Here is an 18,027-nt window from a genome sequence, read left to right as displayed (position 1 = left end):
CATAAAAGTCATTGCTGATTATCTTGGAAACTTTAACTGCAATGTTATTTTTCAACTGTCAAACTAATAATAATTACCTACAGCTAATAAAAATTAGGAAACTCTAGTCTAAGTAAGTGAATTACTGTACATTCAGGGCAATTATATTGCATAGTAGAATCAATGAACTTTGGAGACAAGGGTTCAAATCCTAGCTCTCCAATTTCCTAGCTATTTGACCACAGGCAAAATGTTTAACTTCTCTGAGCCTCAGTTCATCTATAAGATGACCAGTGTAATTTCTCCCTTGGAGAGTTAAAAGGAGGATTTTTAAAAGATAAAGTATCACTCCTCTGCTTAAGACCTCCTATAATACACTATAACCTATAAAATAAGTTTCAAACACCTTCAAAGACTATCTTACTTTCAGAGAGCGGAAAATCTTCTCCCATTTCAAAATTTCTTCAAATATCTAAGCAGAAATGTCCAGTAAGTACACAAAATACAGCATTAAAGCCAGAACAGGGAGGAGGAAACACATGCAAAGTTTATTGTCATCATGTATCTGGATAAATTCACTGAAAGACTGATATTTTTGTAATTTGGATATACCAACTTTTTTTCTCTTACCTGATACACTTGTCATGAGGCTACCTATGAATCCCCGCTTAACAAATATTTTCGCAGTACTGGCCTAGCACATTTTTTTAAATGCCCTAGGACAAATAAATTAACCACTTGCTGCTCTCCTCCCTTAGCATATTATAAATTTTCCAATATTGATAAATACAATGATTTCAGGTTGTATTTTAAATAATCCTTTAAATTATTAACCTTTTAGTTTACTCCTACTCTCAAACAGATTATCTACCATTGTTCTTATACTAAAACACAGTTTAAATTTAGCACAATCCAAGTAGAATCTGGACACTGGTTAGTTCCAGACTCAACTTAAACTATTTCCACACTCTCCCAGACTTTTTCCTTTTTCCAATTATTGATAGAATTGTTTCCCCGACCAGAGAGTAAGCTCCTCTAAAGTCAGGAATCATAGCACCCATTTCCATAGCATTTAGCCAACCGTCTCGGAAAATCTATGGTGTGTGTGTGTGTGTGTGTGTGTGCGCGTGTGTGTATTCAGTAGTATCTTTGATTTGTTTTGTCTCCTCTACTTCCAAAAATCAAATCATTAAATTAAAACTAATTAGTGGCCTATCCTAACTACCATTTAATGAATGCATGCTACACATCACTCTATACTTTTTAAACCACAAAATATTATTTTATCAACCCTGACATACCACAGACAAATTTCCTGAGAACCAAAAAAGTCAGTGGGGAAAAAAAGAAATTTCCTAATTTTAGAGACATTAAAATGTGAAGAATAGCAGATGGTAACTATGAGGTGCCATTAATTAGAAGACACATTCCATTTTCAGAGCTCTTAAAATGTAAGAAATATATGTACATCTTACACTTTTAACCTCATTATAGAAACTGAAGGTCAGAGAGTGCTTAAACACTTTGTCTGACACTAATACTTGTTAACCAGGTTGGCCACATGGAACAACACCTAATAATTAGTAGAAAAATTGATCAAAAGCCAGCTATTTTAACTATTTCCTGCCTATTAAGTAAAATAAGTATATATCCAATGCGTTGATATGCTCAGGTGATTACTTATACAGCTGTGCTGCATACATTTCCCTAACCATCCTATAAAAGAAGATAAGTTCAACAGTTCATTGCCCACCCTATGAAAAAAATATATAGTAATTACTAAAATCTGAAATTCATTTTTAGACATCATAGGCAGATTACTACATCTGACCTTATTGCTGTAAGTTTTCTTTTTTCAAAATGACACCACATACTTCAATGTTTGAGAATACAAAGGGATCAATTAAGTCTTTCTGTATAGACAAAATATACTTTATAAATTATACCAAGGTTAGGCCGGGCGCGGTGGCTCACGCCTGTAATCCCAGCACTTTGGGAGGCCAAGACGGGCGGAGTACGAGGTCAGGAGATCGAGACCATCCTGGCTAACATGGTGAAACCTCGTCTGTAGTAAAAAAAATACAAAAAATTAGCCGGGCGTTGTGGCGGGCACCTGTAGTCCCAGCTACTTGGGAGGCTGAGGCAGGAGAATGGCATGTACCTGGGAGGCAGAGCTTGTAGTAAGCCAAGATCATGACACTGCACTCCAGCCTGGGTGACAGAGTGAGACTCTGTCTCAAAAAAAAAAAAAAATTATACCAAGGTGATTTGCAAATATATAATTAAATATTTAGAGTGTACATACTTTTCAAATGTTGGCACATTTCTGCCTAATGAGCAAATACATCAACCAACACATTTATAGTCATGAAGTAATACAATTCTGTTTAACTCCTTAGATACTCACTTCCACTACTAAATATTTAGGTTTCTGAATTATAAATATTACATTAAATAACATCAAACTTAATTCAAGAATAGGGAATTCTAAGGGCTAGGCATGGTGGCTCATGCCTGTAATGCCGGCACTCTGTGAGGTAAAGGCAGGATAATCGCTTGAGGCCAGGAGTTCAAGACCAGCCTAAGCAACATAGCAAGACCCCATCTCCTCAAAAATAGGGATTTCTGTATTTTATCCTTAAGTATTTGCCATTAGAATAGAAAAAGGAACATAACAATTTGGTGTTACATTCGACCTCAACCTAAATTTGTCTTAGTAAAGGAGAAAATAAAGAAAGAGCAGACAAAGTGGTAATCAAGCTGGTAATAATTTTAACATGAAAATGTATGTGAGGTGATAGAAAAATCTTCTAAAGGATTGACAGGAGCATTTTAAAAAGTCAAAACTTAGCATCTGCAGACAAAATCCTCTCCAGCTTTTTTCTCCCTCTCCCTCTCCCTCTTCCTTCCCTTCTCTCCACGTGTAGTAAATGTTCAACATTTCCGATTATTTTATCTTAAGAAATAAGTATCAGTTCTGTATAACACAAAATAGAAAGAAAGCAAAAGCTAAGGAATTCTTTTTTTCATTACAAACATTTGTAGAAGTTACTAATAAAATGTCATTTTTTAAGAGTAAAGATATTTGATAACTAAAGGTAAAAAGACAGTAATTTGTTTTCAATCTAAGATCTGGTTCCAACATGACTATGAATTAAAATGGATTTGTTCATCAGGTACACTCAATATTATATACATCAGATATCTCTCTATTTCTTAGACAAAGCATCATAGATTTCATCACATTTTATATTTTAAAATCGCAAACTATAAATTAACAACTAATAACTATATCAAAATTCTCATCTTACTTCTCCATTTCTTAATGTTGTGATGGTTCCTCTTGCTACACCCATTCTGAATAGTGTTTCTGTGGCCTGTAAATTAAAAAAAAAAAACAGCAAAAATATATGATCTACAATCTCTCCTCAATTGTATATCCCACACCCTAAATGTGAAAAACATTCAATACTATTATATATCCAGCAACTTCTAGAGAACGATCAATAAGTTGTATATGCCTATAGTCCTAGCTACTCAGGCAAGAGGATCACTTGAGTCCAGGAGTTCAAGGCTACAGTGAGCTATGATTGAGCCACTGCCTAGATGACAGAGTGAGACCCTGTCTAAAAAAAAAAAAAAACAAAAGAAAGAAAGAAAGAAAAGAAATGCAACGCAACTAGAGAACCATCTACAAGGCACAATAAGAGCTAGAAGTTATAAATTGTACCCCAGAAATATCATAATCACAATCTTTTAAGAGCTCAAACTTAATTGTTTCAAATGGTTATTTTGATAATCTGGTATTCTTCCAGGACTATAGTTTCGAATTAGTTTGCTTAGACAAGTTTAAACCTTAGTTTAATGAACAAAAATTAAGTTCAAATGTAGCATTTAAATTCAACTTGGAAGTTATCATTTATTCTGAATTTAGTTTCCATTTGAATTTAGTTCAAATCACTTATCTGCTACTAATATAGAGACAGGAGATAAAGTAATTTAGTAATGTCATATATTAGGTGACACACCAAAATAGTTATTGCTCACTATACACTAACAATGAACAATCAGAAAAGGAAATTAAGAAAACAATTCCATTTACAACAGCATAAAAAAAAACTCCTAGGGAAAAATAAAACAAGGAAGTGAAAGACTTGTAATCTGAAGACAACAAAACATTGCTGAAAGAAATTGAAGAAGACACAAATAAATAAAAAGACATCCTGTGCTCATGGTTTGGAATACTTATTATTAAGATGACAATACAACCCAAAGTGATCGACAGATTCAATGCAATCCCTATTAAAATCCCAATGGCACATGTTGCAGAACTAGAAAAATCCATCCTGAAATTCATATAGAACGTTAAGGGACCCCAAATAAACAAAACAAACTTGAAAAAAGAAGAAGAAAGTTGAAGGACTCACTTTCGGATTTAAAACTTACTACAAACCTACAGTAATCAAAAATATGTGGTACTATCATAAAGATGGACATCTAAGACAATGGAATAGAACAGAGAACCCAAAAATAAAACCTTGCATATATGATCAAATGATATTTGACCAGGGTAATAAGACTATTGAGTGCACAAAGGACAATCTTTTCAAAAGTACTTTAAAAAACTGGAAATCCATGAAACTGTCCTCACAGGCTTAACAAGAATTTTGAATAGAAATATAGTTATAATTAAGCATAAATCAGCTGCACTTTGACCCACTTCCTTGTAAGAAAAAGTCTAGAAACAGTACATACTGTCCATTTGAATCCCCATTGTTACTATAGATAGAATTTCTGACACTAAGGTTGTAAGACATTTTTTAAGACAGATAGGGTCTCTGATGTTAGAATCATAAGGCTTTTGCTTATTCAAGATATGGAATACTTAAACAGATCCTGAATTCCAGTAAAACAGCTGACACCAACCAACTTAAAGATCCCCAAAGAGGAACCAAATCAGCATGAGAATACAGTTCCTTTGTCTCCCTGTCCCATGATCTCACCCTGCACTCTTGGACCAACCAACCATCTCCAAACTCTGGCACACTCCAAAAGCCTTCAAAACTCTAGCCCCAAATTCCACAGGGAGATGGATTTGAGGTTTCCTTTCATCTCCTCAGTCAGTGGCCCTAAACTTAAACATCTCTCTCTGCTACAATCTGATGTCTTGGTGTACTGACTTGCTGCACACATTGGGCAATGGACCTCTTACAGTTACATCCACATATAAAAGAATGAAGTTAGACCTTTACCTCTACCATATACAAAAATCAACTCAAAATGGATCAAAGACATAAATTTAAGACCTAAAACTATAAAAATCTTAAAAGAAAACATAAGGGGAAAGCTTTATGACATTAGATTTAACAATGATTTCTTGAATATGACACCGAAAGCACAAGCAACAAAACTAAAAACAGTCTGGGCATGGCGGCTCACGCCTGTAATCCCAACAGTTTGAGAGGCCGAGGCGGGTGGATAACCTGAGTTCAGGAGTTCGAGACCAGCCTGGCCAACGTGGTGAAACCCCATCTCTACTAAAAACACATAAATTAGCTGGGCTTGGTGGCACATGCCTGTACTCCCAGCTACCCGGGAGGCTGAGGCAGGAGAATAACTTGAACTTGGGAGACGGAGGTTGCAGTGAGCCAAGATCGCACCACTGCATTCCAGCCTGGGCAACAAGAGTGAAACTCAGTCTCTAAATAAATAAATAAATAAATAAATAAAACTGGATTTCACCAAAAATTAAAAACTTTAGTGCATCAAAGGACTCTATCAACAAAATTAAAAAACAACTCATGAAATAGAAAACACCTGCAAATTGCATATCTGATGAGGAGTTAATATCCAGAGTATATTAGGAACTCCTACTACTCAACAACAAAAACTAAACAACCCAATTAAAAACTGGGCAAAGGACTTGAAGAAATTTATCCAAAGAACATATACAAATAGCCAATAAGCACATGAAATGATGCTCCACATCACTAATCATTAGGGAAATGCAAATCAAAACCACAGTGAGATACCACTTCCCATCCATTAGAATGGCTATTATCAAAAAGACAGAAGATATCAAGTGTTGAGAAGGATGTGGAGAAATTGGAACCCTTGTACACTGCTGATAGGAATGAAAAATGGCACAGCCACTGTGGAAAACAGTAAGGCAGTTACTTTAAAATTTACACATCGAATTATCATACAACCCAGCCACCCTGCTTCTGGGTATATATCCATAACTACTGAATGTAGGCTCTCAAAGAGATATCTGCATATGTTCACAGTAGTATTATTTACAACAGCCTAGATGTAGATGCAACCCAAGTGTCCATCAATGAATAAATGAATAAACAAAATACGGTATATACATACAATGGAGTATTATTCAGACTTAGAAAAGAATGAAATTCTGATATAGTATACAACATGGATGAGCACTGAAGATATTATGCTAAGTGAACTAAGCAAGAAGCAAAACAACAAATACTGAATGATTCACTTATATGAAGTATCTAGAGTAGTGAAATTCATTGAGACAGAAAGTAGAACAGTGGTTACTAGAGGCTGAGAGAGGAGAAATGGGGAGGCACTATATGATGGACATAGAGTTTCAGTTTAATGACAAAGTTCTGGAGATGGATAGTAGTAGTGAACGCACAACAATGTGAATTTACTTAATGCCAGTGAACTGTACACAGAAAAATGGCCAAAACAGTAAACTTAACATTGTATATATTTTACCACAATTAAAAAAAATAGTTATTCTTATTTCCAATGCTTCCCCATCTTACAACTGCTGAGGATTTAGACCCTAATAAAACATTCTTTAGGATTGTATCTAAAGAGTACTTAATGGAAAATCCATTGATACAGTGTAGAACACTGTAATATACAGAAAGAAAAGGATATTGATTGGTTAGTTTAGAATTTATCGAACAATTATTTCATAAGCACTGTAAAGGGCAAATTGAAGGAATTAGCGATAGAGTCAATTTGACAATGCCCTTATTTTTAAGGAGTTTACATCTAGGGGAAAGTGGAAGCAAATAACTACAGAAATAAATAAGTCATATGCATGTGAATATGTGCAATGAAAAAAATTAAGCATAATAAGCATATGAATAACAATGAGGTAGAAGGGATATTTTAAATAGAGTAAATCAAGGGTGGCCTCTTTTAGGAGAAGATAATTTGAATGGAAACTAAGTGAAACCAGAAAGTGAATAGCCAGTATGGATATTACAACGATAATGACAGTAATACTTGCTGACAATAACTCGATACCTACTATTTGCCAAAACCCCCTCTACAAGATGTCAATATATCAACTAATTTGAAAACTGGAGGAAAGAAGGTTCTAGTCAAAAGACCACAAGAGCCTGTAGGTAGGATCATACTTGGCATGTTTGAGTACAAATAAGATGGCCAGTGGGGCTGAAGGAAAAAGACTTCATGAGATGGTTGAGAGTGCATGATGGCTGAGACAAGAATAGGGTGCATGTTCCTCTGTTCAATATGTGCTTTTATTTTTCTAGCCTGGCATAATAGGAATGCATTTCTAACCTTTAATAATCAAAAATATGTAATTTGAAGGATGCTCTACTAAATATAAATTTTAAGAATTTATAAACTTAGAAACATCACGGAATTTTAAATTTAAAAACTAAACATACATCAAATAAAATCCAAGGGTACAAGAGGTGGAGAACTGGAGAAGAGGTAAGGAAACTGATATATGTGGGAGATGCATAAAAAAAGATGCCTAACAGATATTATGGAACCGGACCTCAGAGTATAGGTAAGAACTATCAATATCATTTTGGTGTCATCAGTGTATAAAGAGTTGATTATAACCAGAAAACTTGATGAGGCAAATCAAGAAAGTTAAACAGAAGAAAAGAATAATAGGAAATAACAACATATAAAATGAGGCAAAAGAAAAGGATACAGCAGGGAAGACTCAAAAATAACATAAGGGCCGGATGCGGTGGCTCATGCCTGTAATCCCAGCACCTTGGGAGGCCGAGGCGGGTGGGGCGCCTGAGGTCAGGAGTTGGAGACCAGCCTGACCGACATGGCGAAACCCGTCTCTACTAAAAATACAAAAAATCAGCCAGGCATGGTGGCACATGCCTGTAATCCCAGCTGCTTGGAAGGCTGAGGCTGGAGAATCGCTTGAACCAGGAGGTGGAGGTTGCAGTGAGCCAAGCCCAGCCTGGGCGTCAAGAGTGAAAATCCGTCTCAAAAAATAAAGTAACATTGAGAATCAGAAGGCATTCCAGAAAAATAAAATCCTAGAAGTCAAGAGTAAACAATTTCTCAAGAGTAAAGAATTTCAAAATGAAGAAAAGCCATTACATTAAATATACTACAGTGAACATATAGACTTAACGTTACTCCCTCCAGAAATACTACAAAAATGACAGAAGGAAATAAAAGAGTATAAACCACAAAGAAAAAAAGAACACAATAAGGGACAGACAGAACACAAAAAATATCAATGAAACTTTGGAGCATGAACAAGAGAGTAACTGACTTAACAGTACAAAGGTAGCTACAATTTCACTCTCTGAAGAGTCAGAAGACATGCTAATTTGTTCAGCAGAACCTTAGGAATTAGGAGCATCAATAGAAAGGCACCAGAAAGCCAGAATGCAGGTAAGACTGAGAACTGGTGGATTGGCTGCAAAGCAGTCTAAAAAGGAGTTAGACTCCTCTCTTCTTGTCTACCCAGTTAGACACCGATCACCTCCCTCTCATACTAAGAGAAGATTCCCTAAAGGAAAAAAAACAGAGGTAGGATAATTAGGGCAGAAGTGAGACACTATACTAATAACGATGGGATATTAAGTCAAACCATACACAGCGAATGTTAGGCCACCATCCATCCCACCTCACCACCTACTATATCTCTTTCCATTGATCCAAAAGCAGTGGAACTCTGCTTATATCCCAACCACTTTCCCATTCTCGTGATAGGTAATAAGAGGATCCCTCTCTAGGAAAAAAAAAAGCAGCCCAAGAAAAAAGACCCACAAGATGTTAACTTTTGGAAATTACATATTGAAATAGGTAGATGCTAACTTTTGGAAATTACACATTGAAATAGGTAAAAGACCCACAAATAAAAACAGTGAGCTTCCATAAGCTTCAAAGTAACTTTTAAATAAAAGGCAAACAAGAATCAATAGGCATTTAAGGAATTCCTTTAACAGGAAAGACAGAGCAAAATAAACAGAAAAAAGAAATGTGGAAGAAATAAATTAAATGGAAGATCAAAAGAAATTTCTGAAAAGTACCCACAAAAACACATCCACTGCAACCATAAAACAAGAATAGGATGTTATAAGAAAAGGAACCCTTTAGAGAACTGAAGGACTCTAAGAAATTATAACAGCAAAACTATAAATTTTAGTAAAAAAATTCCAAATAAAAGTTGAGAAACTCTTCCAGGAATTCAAACAGAAAAACAAAGAAATAGAGTAGAGGACACAAAATTACACTAGGATATTTCTCAATACAAGGATATGAATTCCCAAAGTGAAAGAGCCTGCTAAGTACTCATACTCAGCACAGTGATTTTTTAGAGACTCACATTAAACCACATCCTGAAATTTCATTAAACAAAGAAACAGGAATCAAAACAACCCGGGACTACTCAACAGCAATACTTGCAACTAGAAGACAATAAAATAATGCCTTAAAATTTGGAAGGTAAGGAATTTCTCACATAGAAATCTGTATTAATCAAACTCTTAATTATGAAAATAATATAAAAATATTTCCAGATTTGCAAGATCTAAAGATCTAAAAATATCTACCTACGGCCACAAGCAGTAAAATACAGAGTAAATCCAAAAAGACAACTGGGATTCAACAAATTACAGAGGTAAACGGAAGTCTCAAGCAGTCAGACAAGACCGGAACAAGATAACAAACTTAAACAAATGATGTAGCTCCACAGAGGGAAAAATATAACTGAAAAATTACTAGGTGTTCTTGAAAATATTGAAAGGAATCTTATGTCACAAAGTTAGGGAGTTAGTAATAGGTACAAAGAAACTAAGCAAATAAAAAGTGAGGCAATTATTAACTATGAAAAAAACATAAGGTAGCAAGAAAAGTTGTACAATGGCTCAGCTACGAGTAATTGTTACACAGTTTGAACAGAATATGTTAAACATTAAATACTATTTTAAACAAAATTTATGTATTACCATACTGTGAACATCCCTACACCACCACAGAGTGTAAAGAAAACCAAATTCCCATCTTCTGTAGTAGGAAGTCAGTAATGTGTAAACCAAAACAAGAATAGCAGTGTAGGCAAGTTAATTTAGATACAACGAAGCAACAGAGGAAATAAGGCAAAGACTGCAAGTGGTTGCCTCTGCATTGTGGAATTCATGTGTTAGAAGCAGTAGAAAAGAATACTACTGTTTTCTGTAACCTTTGCAGCATACCATTTCACTTTTTTTCTTTTTTTTTTTTTTTTTTTTGAGACAGAGTTTCGCTCTTGTTGCCCAGGCTGGAGTGCAATGGTGCACTCGGCTCACTGCAACCTCCACCTCCCAGGTACAAGCGATTCTCCTGTCTCACCCTCCCAAGTAGCTCAAATTACAGGCATGTGCCACCATGCCCAGCTAATTTTTTTGTATTTAGTAGAGACAGGTTTCACCATGTTAGTCAGGCTGGTCGCTAACTCTTGACCCTCAGGTGATCCACCCGCTTTGGCCTCCCAAAGTGCTGGGATTACAGGCGTGCACCACCGCGCCCAGCCACAATTTCACTTTTAAACTACATGTAAATATTTAATTACATTTTGAAAAAACTATTATAGAAGTAATCAACAGTGTCCAATAGGTCAAATACTTTACAATTTTAATAGAGCAGTGCAGATGAGAATATAGTTGAGGACTGAATGAGAAGATATAAATTGTATAAGTAAATGTGAAAAGTTTGACAATAAAGGTAAAGAAGGAGATTGACTTGTGGCTAGAATGAGAATCATAGTTGAGAGAAAATTGGTAACAGGATATTTTTAGGAGAGAAGATATTTAAACATGTTTTTACTGGCTAAGTAGAAGTCAGTGCTCAGTAAGGTGGAAGAAATTACAGATACAAGAAGGAAAATGGCTATGACTGAGAAAGATTCCTGTTTAAGACAATATTAAGAACATACATAGCAATCTGTTGTCTGTGTTAAAAGAAAGCAGGTGCAAATATAACTAAACTCTCTTCCTCTCCCTTTCCCTGACCCTCTCCCACTGTGTAAATTTTCCCCTTTTCTCTTCCCCTTCCCTCTCCCTCTCTGAATTAGAAGAATAAACCTCTGAGAATGACGAAGACACTAGCTTAAGGACAGGGGTGAGAGTATAGGAACACATAAGTAAATAGAACATAGAATTGCTAAGTAGTACTTAAGCCCAGCTAAAGTTGAAAAACACAGATCTTTGTTGTTGCAAATCCACACAGTTATGGCATTAGAAAAATAGAAAGATTCAGTTTAGAAGTTGTCAAGACAAAGTTAAGCAAGGCTATAGACTTAATTAGTAAAATACAGCATGTAATTTATACATAAGAGCTAAATTTTTTCTAACTTTTTTTAAATGAGAAATAAGAATCTCTGGAACTTTTCTCCACAGGCATACACACACACACACACACACACACACACACACAAAGGTATGGGGGGATTTGGTGCTAAGTTAGAAAATTTTTAAAACGTTTAAAGCAAACTGTTAAATTTTGTAAATTCAGCACAATATGAATTTAACTCCAACCCACAATTCATTGAAAGATTTATAACAGGCCAATAATGCGCAGAAGGATTATTCACATACTCAAACAAAAATTATAAATTTACTATGATAGATTTTTATTAAAGTATGTATAACTAAATGTTGAAAGGTCTAGTCTCAGAAATTTTTATTAAGAAATAAATTTCTCACCCATTATGTTCTTGTATTTATTCTATTATTAATGATACATATATTAAACTACATCTTCAATCTTCCTGTTTCTTTTTTAATTCTATTTAATCTAGTGATATGATTTTTAACAGTCCTCCTGTAGGTCAGGCTACTTACTTTATATATTTGAGGAGCAAAAGGGGAAAGGCAGAGGCAGCAAGCACTTAAAATAAAATATGCAATAATTTCTCAAAACCAGATCAAAGTACATTATTTCTCATGTCTCAAAACCCTAGGCAATCAGAGGATCAAATTCTTTTTCGGTACCTTCTCCAGTAGAAGAAGAATACCAAATTCAATCCTTTGTTCCCAACTTATTTATTTCATCAGCTCTTCCCACCAACATTTTTAAGGATATCTCATTCTAATAGCATTCTGCCAATTCAGCTAAGCTTCCTTTGTTTCTATGGGAAAGCACTGAAGTGTACAACTTTCTTTTGACCTCTGCTAAAGAGATTGCTTTTCATTTCCTTGTACCTAAAGAACTACTAACAAGGGTCAAAAATAATGAATTCAGAGCTAATTCTCAGCATTTGTAAATTTACCTATAGTAAATTCTTGATTGAAATGTCTCTTTCTTTTGAGTTTTTATTACATCTAAGATGATTAATACTAAAAACATTCATTCTATGTCAGTGACAGAGGGAAATAACTGTCTACAATGTCTTTGTTTAAAAATAAGTTAACAGCTATGTGTGGTGGCTCACGCCTGTAATCCCAGCACTTTGGGAGACTGAAGCGGGCAGATCTCAAGGTCAGGAGTTCAAGAGCAGCCTGGCCAACATAGTGAAACTCCATGTCTACTAAAAATATGAAAATTAGCTAGGCATGGTGGTGCGTGCCTGTAGTCCTGGCTACTCGGGAGGCTGAGGCAGGAGAATCACTTGAACCCAGGAGGTGGAGGTTGCAGTGAGCCAAGATTGTGCCACTGCACTCCAGCTTGGGCAACAAAGTAAGACTTTGTCTCAAAAAAATAATAAGTTAACAAGAGACTGTTTTTAAGAACAGTGCTAGACAAGAGACTTAAGAGACATAAAACCTAGATGTAATAAATGCAAACTTCTGGATTGGACTTTTGTGTGTGTGTTTTTGTGTATATGTGTGCAAATCAAAAAGATCTGTAAGGATGTATGCTGAGGTGATAACAGCAGTAATCTCTGGGTGATTTTCTTCTTTAGTTATTTTCTATGTTCTGCTATGCACACACATTGTTTGGTAATAATAAAAATAACAATAACAGTAAGCTAGGCACAGTGGCACATGCCTATAGTCCCAGCTATTCAGGAGGCTGAGGCAGGAGGATCCTTTGAGTCCAGGAGTTAAGAGGCCAGACTGGGCAATATTCAGAGACTCCTTCTCTTAAAAAAGAAGTAACAATTTTTGTTACACTAAAAGTTTTGTTTGTTTGTTTGTTGTTTTTTTGAGACAGTCTTGCTTTGTCACCCAGGCTGGAGTGTAGTGGCACGATCTCGGCTCATTGCAACCTTCGCCTGCCAGGTTCAAGCGATTCTTGTGCCTCAGCCTCCCGAGTAGCTGGGACTACAGGCACACGCCACCATGCCAGGCTAATTTTTGCATTTTTTAGTAGAGACGGGGTTTCGCCATGTTGGCCAGGCTGGCCTTGAACTCCTGACTTCAGGTGATCCCCCTGTCTCGGCTTCCCAGAGTGCTGGGATTACTGGTGTGAGGAGTATTATTATAATATATTTCAATCATTATCTTACAATACCTTTAATCACGTAGGCATCATCTTATAGAAAGATTTCAGTGGGTCAATTTAACATGCAATTTATAAATATAAATACAAAAATAGTTGTATTTAGCAGATATTTATTTCCTATTAGGCAACTAGATGTCTAGTTATCTCATTTCCAATTGTTTACTACTTGGGCAACCTTAGGCAGGTCATTTAAACTCTCTACACATTGATTTTGTCTGTAAGATGGTCACAGTTAATATCAACCTGCCTGAAAGTGGTCAATGCAGGTATTAATATACGTGAAAACACTCCATAAAGAGTTAGATGGCGTAAAACATTGAATCCAAGGTCTAGTTTAGTACAGCACTTTTTGAGATTAACGGATGTTTGACAAATACTAATTTTGACTTTTCAAATGTAAAAATATGTGATGGATTAATGAAAAACCAAAAACAAAGGAACGCTAATCATAGCTGTGAATATGAAAAGCAAAAATCACCAGGTAGAGTGGCTCACACACGGAAGTAGCCTCCCAGCTACTTGGGAGGCTAAAGTAGGAGGATCGCTTAAGGCCAGTTTTATTTTCTAAAAAATAAAAATAAAACAATTAGCCTGGCATGGTGATGCACTACTCCCAAGTACTCCAGAGGCTAAAGCAGGTTCATATACAATCAACCAATTTTTGTTTTTGAGACTGAGTCTCACTACATTCCCTCAGGCTGATCTCAAAAAACTCCTGAGTTCAACTAATCCTCCTGCCTCAGCCTCCTGAGTAGCTGGGATTACAGGCACATGCCACCACACATGGCTTCCACTGATTTTTGACAAAAGTACCACAAATACACAATGGGAAAAGGACAGTGTCTTCAATAAATAGTGCTGTCAAAACTGGATTTTCACATACGGGAGAAGGAAATTAGAGCCTTGTCTCACACCATATACAAAAATCAGTGAAAAATGGATTAAAGACTTAAACATAGGCCTGAAACTCTAAAACTACTAAAAGAAAGCACAGGATAAAGACTAAACAACATTGGTCTGGGCAATGACTTTTTGAATTTGATCCCAAAGGTGCAGGCAACAAAAACAAAAATAGACAAATGGGAATTACATCAAACTAAAAAGCTTCTGCATAGCAAAGAAAACAACGGAGTAGAGAGACAACCCATGGATTGGGAGAAAATGGTTGCAAACCATCCATCCAATAAAGAATGAATAACCCAAATATGTAAGGAGCACAAACAATTCAATAGCAAGAAAACAAAAAATTCAATTGAAAAAAATGGATAAGTGACCTGAATAGACATTTCTCAAAAGAAGACGTACAAATGGTCAACAGATACATGAAAAAAAAATCAACATCAGAAATTAGCAGAGAAATGCAAATTAAAACCACAATGATGTATCATCTCACACCTGTCAGAATGGCTTTCATCAAAAAGATGAAAGATAAGTGTTGGCAAGGATATGGAGAAAAGGGAACCTTTATATACTCTTGGTGGGAATATAAATTAGTACGGGCATTATGGAAAAAAGTATAGAAGTTTCTCAAAAACACTAAAAATAGAACTGCCATATGACCCAGCAATCCCACTGCTGGGTATTCACCCAAAAGATTTGAAATCAGTTTGTTGAAGAGATGTCTGCACCCCTATGTTCACTGCAGCAACTATTTACAATAGCTAAGTTATGAAATCAACCTAAGTGTCCATCAACAGATGAATGGATAAAGAAAAGGTGAGGTATTTACACTATGGAATACTATTCACCCTTTAAAATGAAGGAAATTCTGTCATTTGAGACAACATGGATGAAACTGGAGAACATTATGCTGTATAAGTCGTACCCAGAAAGACAAATATCACATGTTCTCACTTATGTGAAACCCATAGCAGAAAGTAGAATGGTGGTTACAGAGGCTGGAGGTGGGGAAATGAGGAGATTTGATCAAAGGGTAGAAAATCTCCAGAGAAATATGGCTTTTATTTTTCTTCTTTTGAGTACTATTGCACTACATGGTGAATACAGTTGATAATAGAGTACAGCACATTTCCAAATTGCTAACAGAGTAAATTTCAAATGTTCTTGCCACAAAAAAGTTAAGTAATTGAGGTAATAGATATGTTACCTAGCTTGATTTAATTATTCCACATTGTATTCATAGATTATAACATTGCTTTGTTCCCAATAAATGTATACAATTATGAATTGTGAATTTATAATAAAAAAGAAAAACCATACCCAGATACATCACTAACAAAATTATAAAATCTAAATAAAAAAAAAAACTCTTGAAAGTAGCCAGAAAACACACACACACACACACACACACACTTTCACACACAAAGTACATACAGTAAAACATTATGGTTAGATAGAGTGAATTCCAAAGTATGTTCCCAACTAGAAGATTAAAGGTAATACTTTCTTCATTACAAATGAAAAATTGACACTTGGAGTAATCCCTCATGATGAGAAACAGCAGTTTACATTACCAAACATTTCCCATGAAGGGAATGACTTTCTTTCCTCAAAAAAGCAACGCCTGCAGGCAAAATTCAGCCTGCCACCTGTTTATATAAATGAAGTATTACTGGCACACCACCATGCCCATTTGTTTACCTATTGTCTATGGCTGCTTTCAAACTACAATAGCAGAATTGAATAGTTGCAACAGAGACTGTATGGCATGCATAGCCAAAAACACTTACTGGCCCTTTAGAAAAAAAAGCATGCTAACCACTGATTTAATTTAACACAAAAACACCGTATTTATCTACTCGGATAGGCATGCATTCATCAGGATAATTCATTGTAAATATTTACCTGTTTGTTTTTTTTAATAAGCAATAACTTAGCAAATACAATTTACAGCTCTACTAATAATTTCTGTAGTTTTTTTTATTTTATACTATACTATTTTCCCAATTTTTTTAATCAGGTACATATATTAGTTTTGAAATTTTAAAAGAAATTTATCAGGAACATCTAATAATGGTGAGGTAAAGGTCACATCATTCGTCTCACAGAAAACAATGTAAAATCTGGACAAAAGTATTTAAAACAATATTGGAAGAACAACAAAATGCGAGCAGAATTTACTCATGAAAGACTGCTACTGTATAATGTAAGAACTTAGTTTTTGCCTTTCTTGCCAAGGGGTGCGCACCAAACTCCCCAGCGGTTCTGACAGCAGAAAACTATATCCTTACCACATCAAAGTGGTTACATGTCAAAGTTCAAAAATTAGAGCAACTATAGTTTAAGAAGGAAATTCTGGAGGGGAAAGATCCACAGAAAGACTGAGACACAAATTCTGAATATAAATTCTACTCAAAAGCTTGACTGACTGCTTAATTTTGCATACATGTTGGAAATACTCAGGAGCCTGACAAAAAGTCAGGCAAAAACTAGAAAGGGTTCTACACCTAAAAGACAAAGCTGCTGTGTGTTTGCTGCACCTTTCACTAAGTTATGTTCTGCAACTGCACACAGCTCAGGTGAAAGAAAGCAAAAGCCTACTGGCTTGAAGTTTCAGAGGGCAGAACTTAAGGTTGGAGGACCAATTGGAAATATATAGAATAAAATGTCCAATTTCCAATCAAAAACAACTAGACACACAAACAAACAAACAAAACAGGAAAGTGTGCTCCATGGTCAGCTTAAAAAAAAAAAAAGAAAGAAAGAAAGAAAAGAAGTCAATGAAGACTGAATCCAAATGGGTCCAGGTATTGCATTTCAAAAACAAAGATGTCAAAATAGCTTTTATAAATATGCTCAAAAGTTATAAGAAAACATGTTCAAAAAATTCTTGGCAATATGTTATTTAATAGATGGATAAATAAGGAATTTCAACAGAAAAAGGAAAGTATAACAAAGAACTAAATGGAAATAACTGAGCTAAAAAAGTACAATCACTGAAATAAAAATTTGCTAGATGAGCTCAACAGAATAGTTGAGATGGCAGAGAAAAATAATCAGTGATCTTGAAGATAGATACCAGAAATTTCTAATTTGAAGAAGATCGAGGAAAAAAAGACTGAAGAGAAATGAAAGACTCAGAGACCAAGAAATATCAAATAGTTCAATGCATGTAATTGAGGTCCCAACAGGAAAGGAGATAGAAAAGGAGGAAGAAAAAAAAAATGAAATGATTGTCAAAAACCTTCTGAATGTTGAAGAAAAAAAGAGGAAGAAAAGAAGAAGAAAGGAGAAGGAAGAGAAAAAAGGAGCAGAAGGAAAAGTAAAAGGAGGAGAAAGAGGAAAAAGAAAGGGAAATGGGAAAAAAAGAGGACAAGAGGGAGAGGAGAGGAAGGGGTGAAGGAGGGAGAAGGGAGGAAGGAGGAGGAGGAGGAGGAAATCTGGAAGCTAAAA

At 35.4% G+C, this 18,027-nt stretch overlaps 1 protein-coding gene across 5 annotated transcripts in view; it reads right to left on the bottom strand.

The window, feature by feature from the left end:
* TMEM135 (transmembrane protein 135) overlaps nucleotides 1-18,027 on the bottom strand; it is a 290,891-nt gene that overhangs the window by 168,128 nt on the left and 104,736 nt on the right. For 4 of the 5 annotated variants that reach the window (NR_033149.2, NM_022918.4, XM_017018141.3 and 1 more), the window contains one exon: nucleotides 3,291-3,356. The exons of the other annotated variant lie outside the window; for it this stretch is intronic. Coding sequence is in view for 3 of the 4 variants with exons in the window: in NM_022918.4 (NP_075069.3) it covers nucleotides 3,291-3,356 (66 nt within the window). In the remaining variant the exon portion in view is untranslated. The remainder of the gene's footprint in view (nucleotides 1-3,290; nucleotides 3,357-18,027) is intronic. 5 annotated transcript variants of the gene reach the window in all.

The sequence above is a fragment of the Homo sapiens genome, chromosome 11 (genome assembly GCF_000001405.40).
Source record: "Homo sapiens chromosome 11, GRCh38.p14 Primary Assembly".
Classification (NCBI taxonomy): domain Eukaryota; kingdom Metazoa; phylum Chordata; class Mammalia; order Primates; family Hominidae; genus Homo; species Homo sapiens.
Note: the sequence above shows the minus strand (reverse complement) of the source record. Positions and strands in the feature narration are given on the sequence as shown.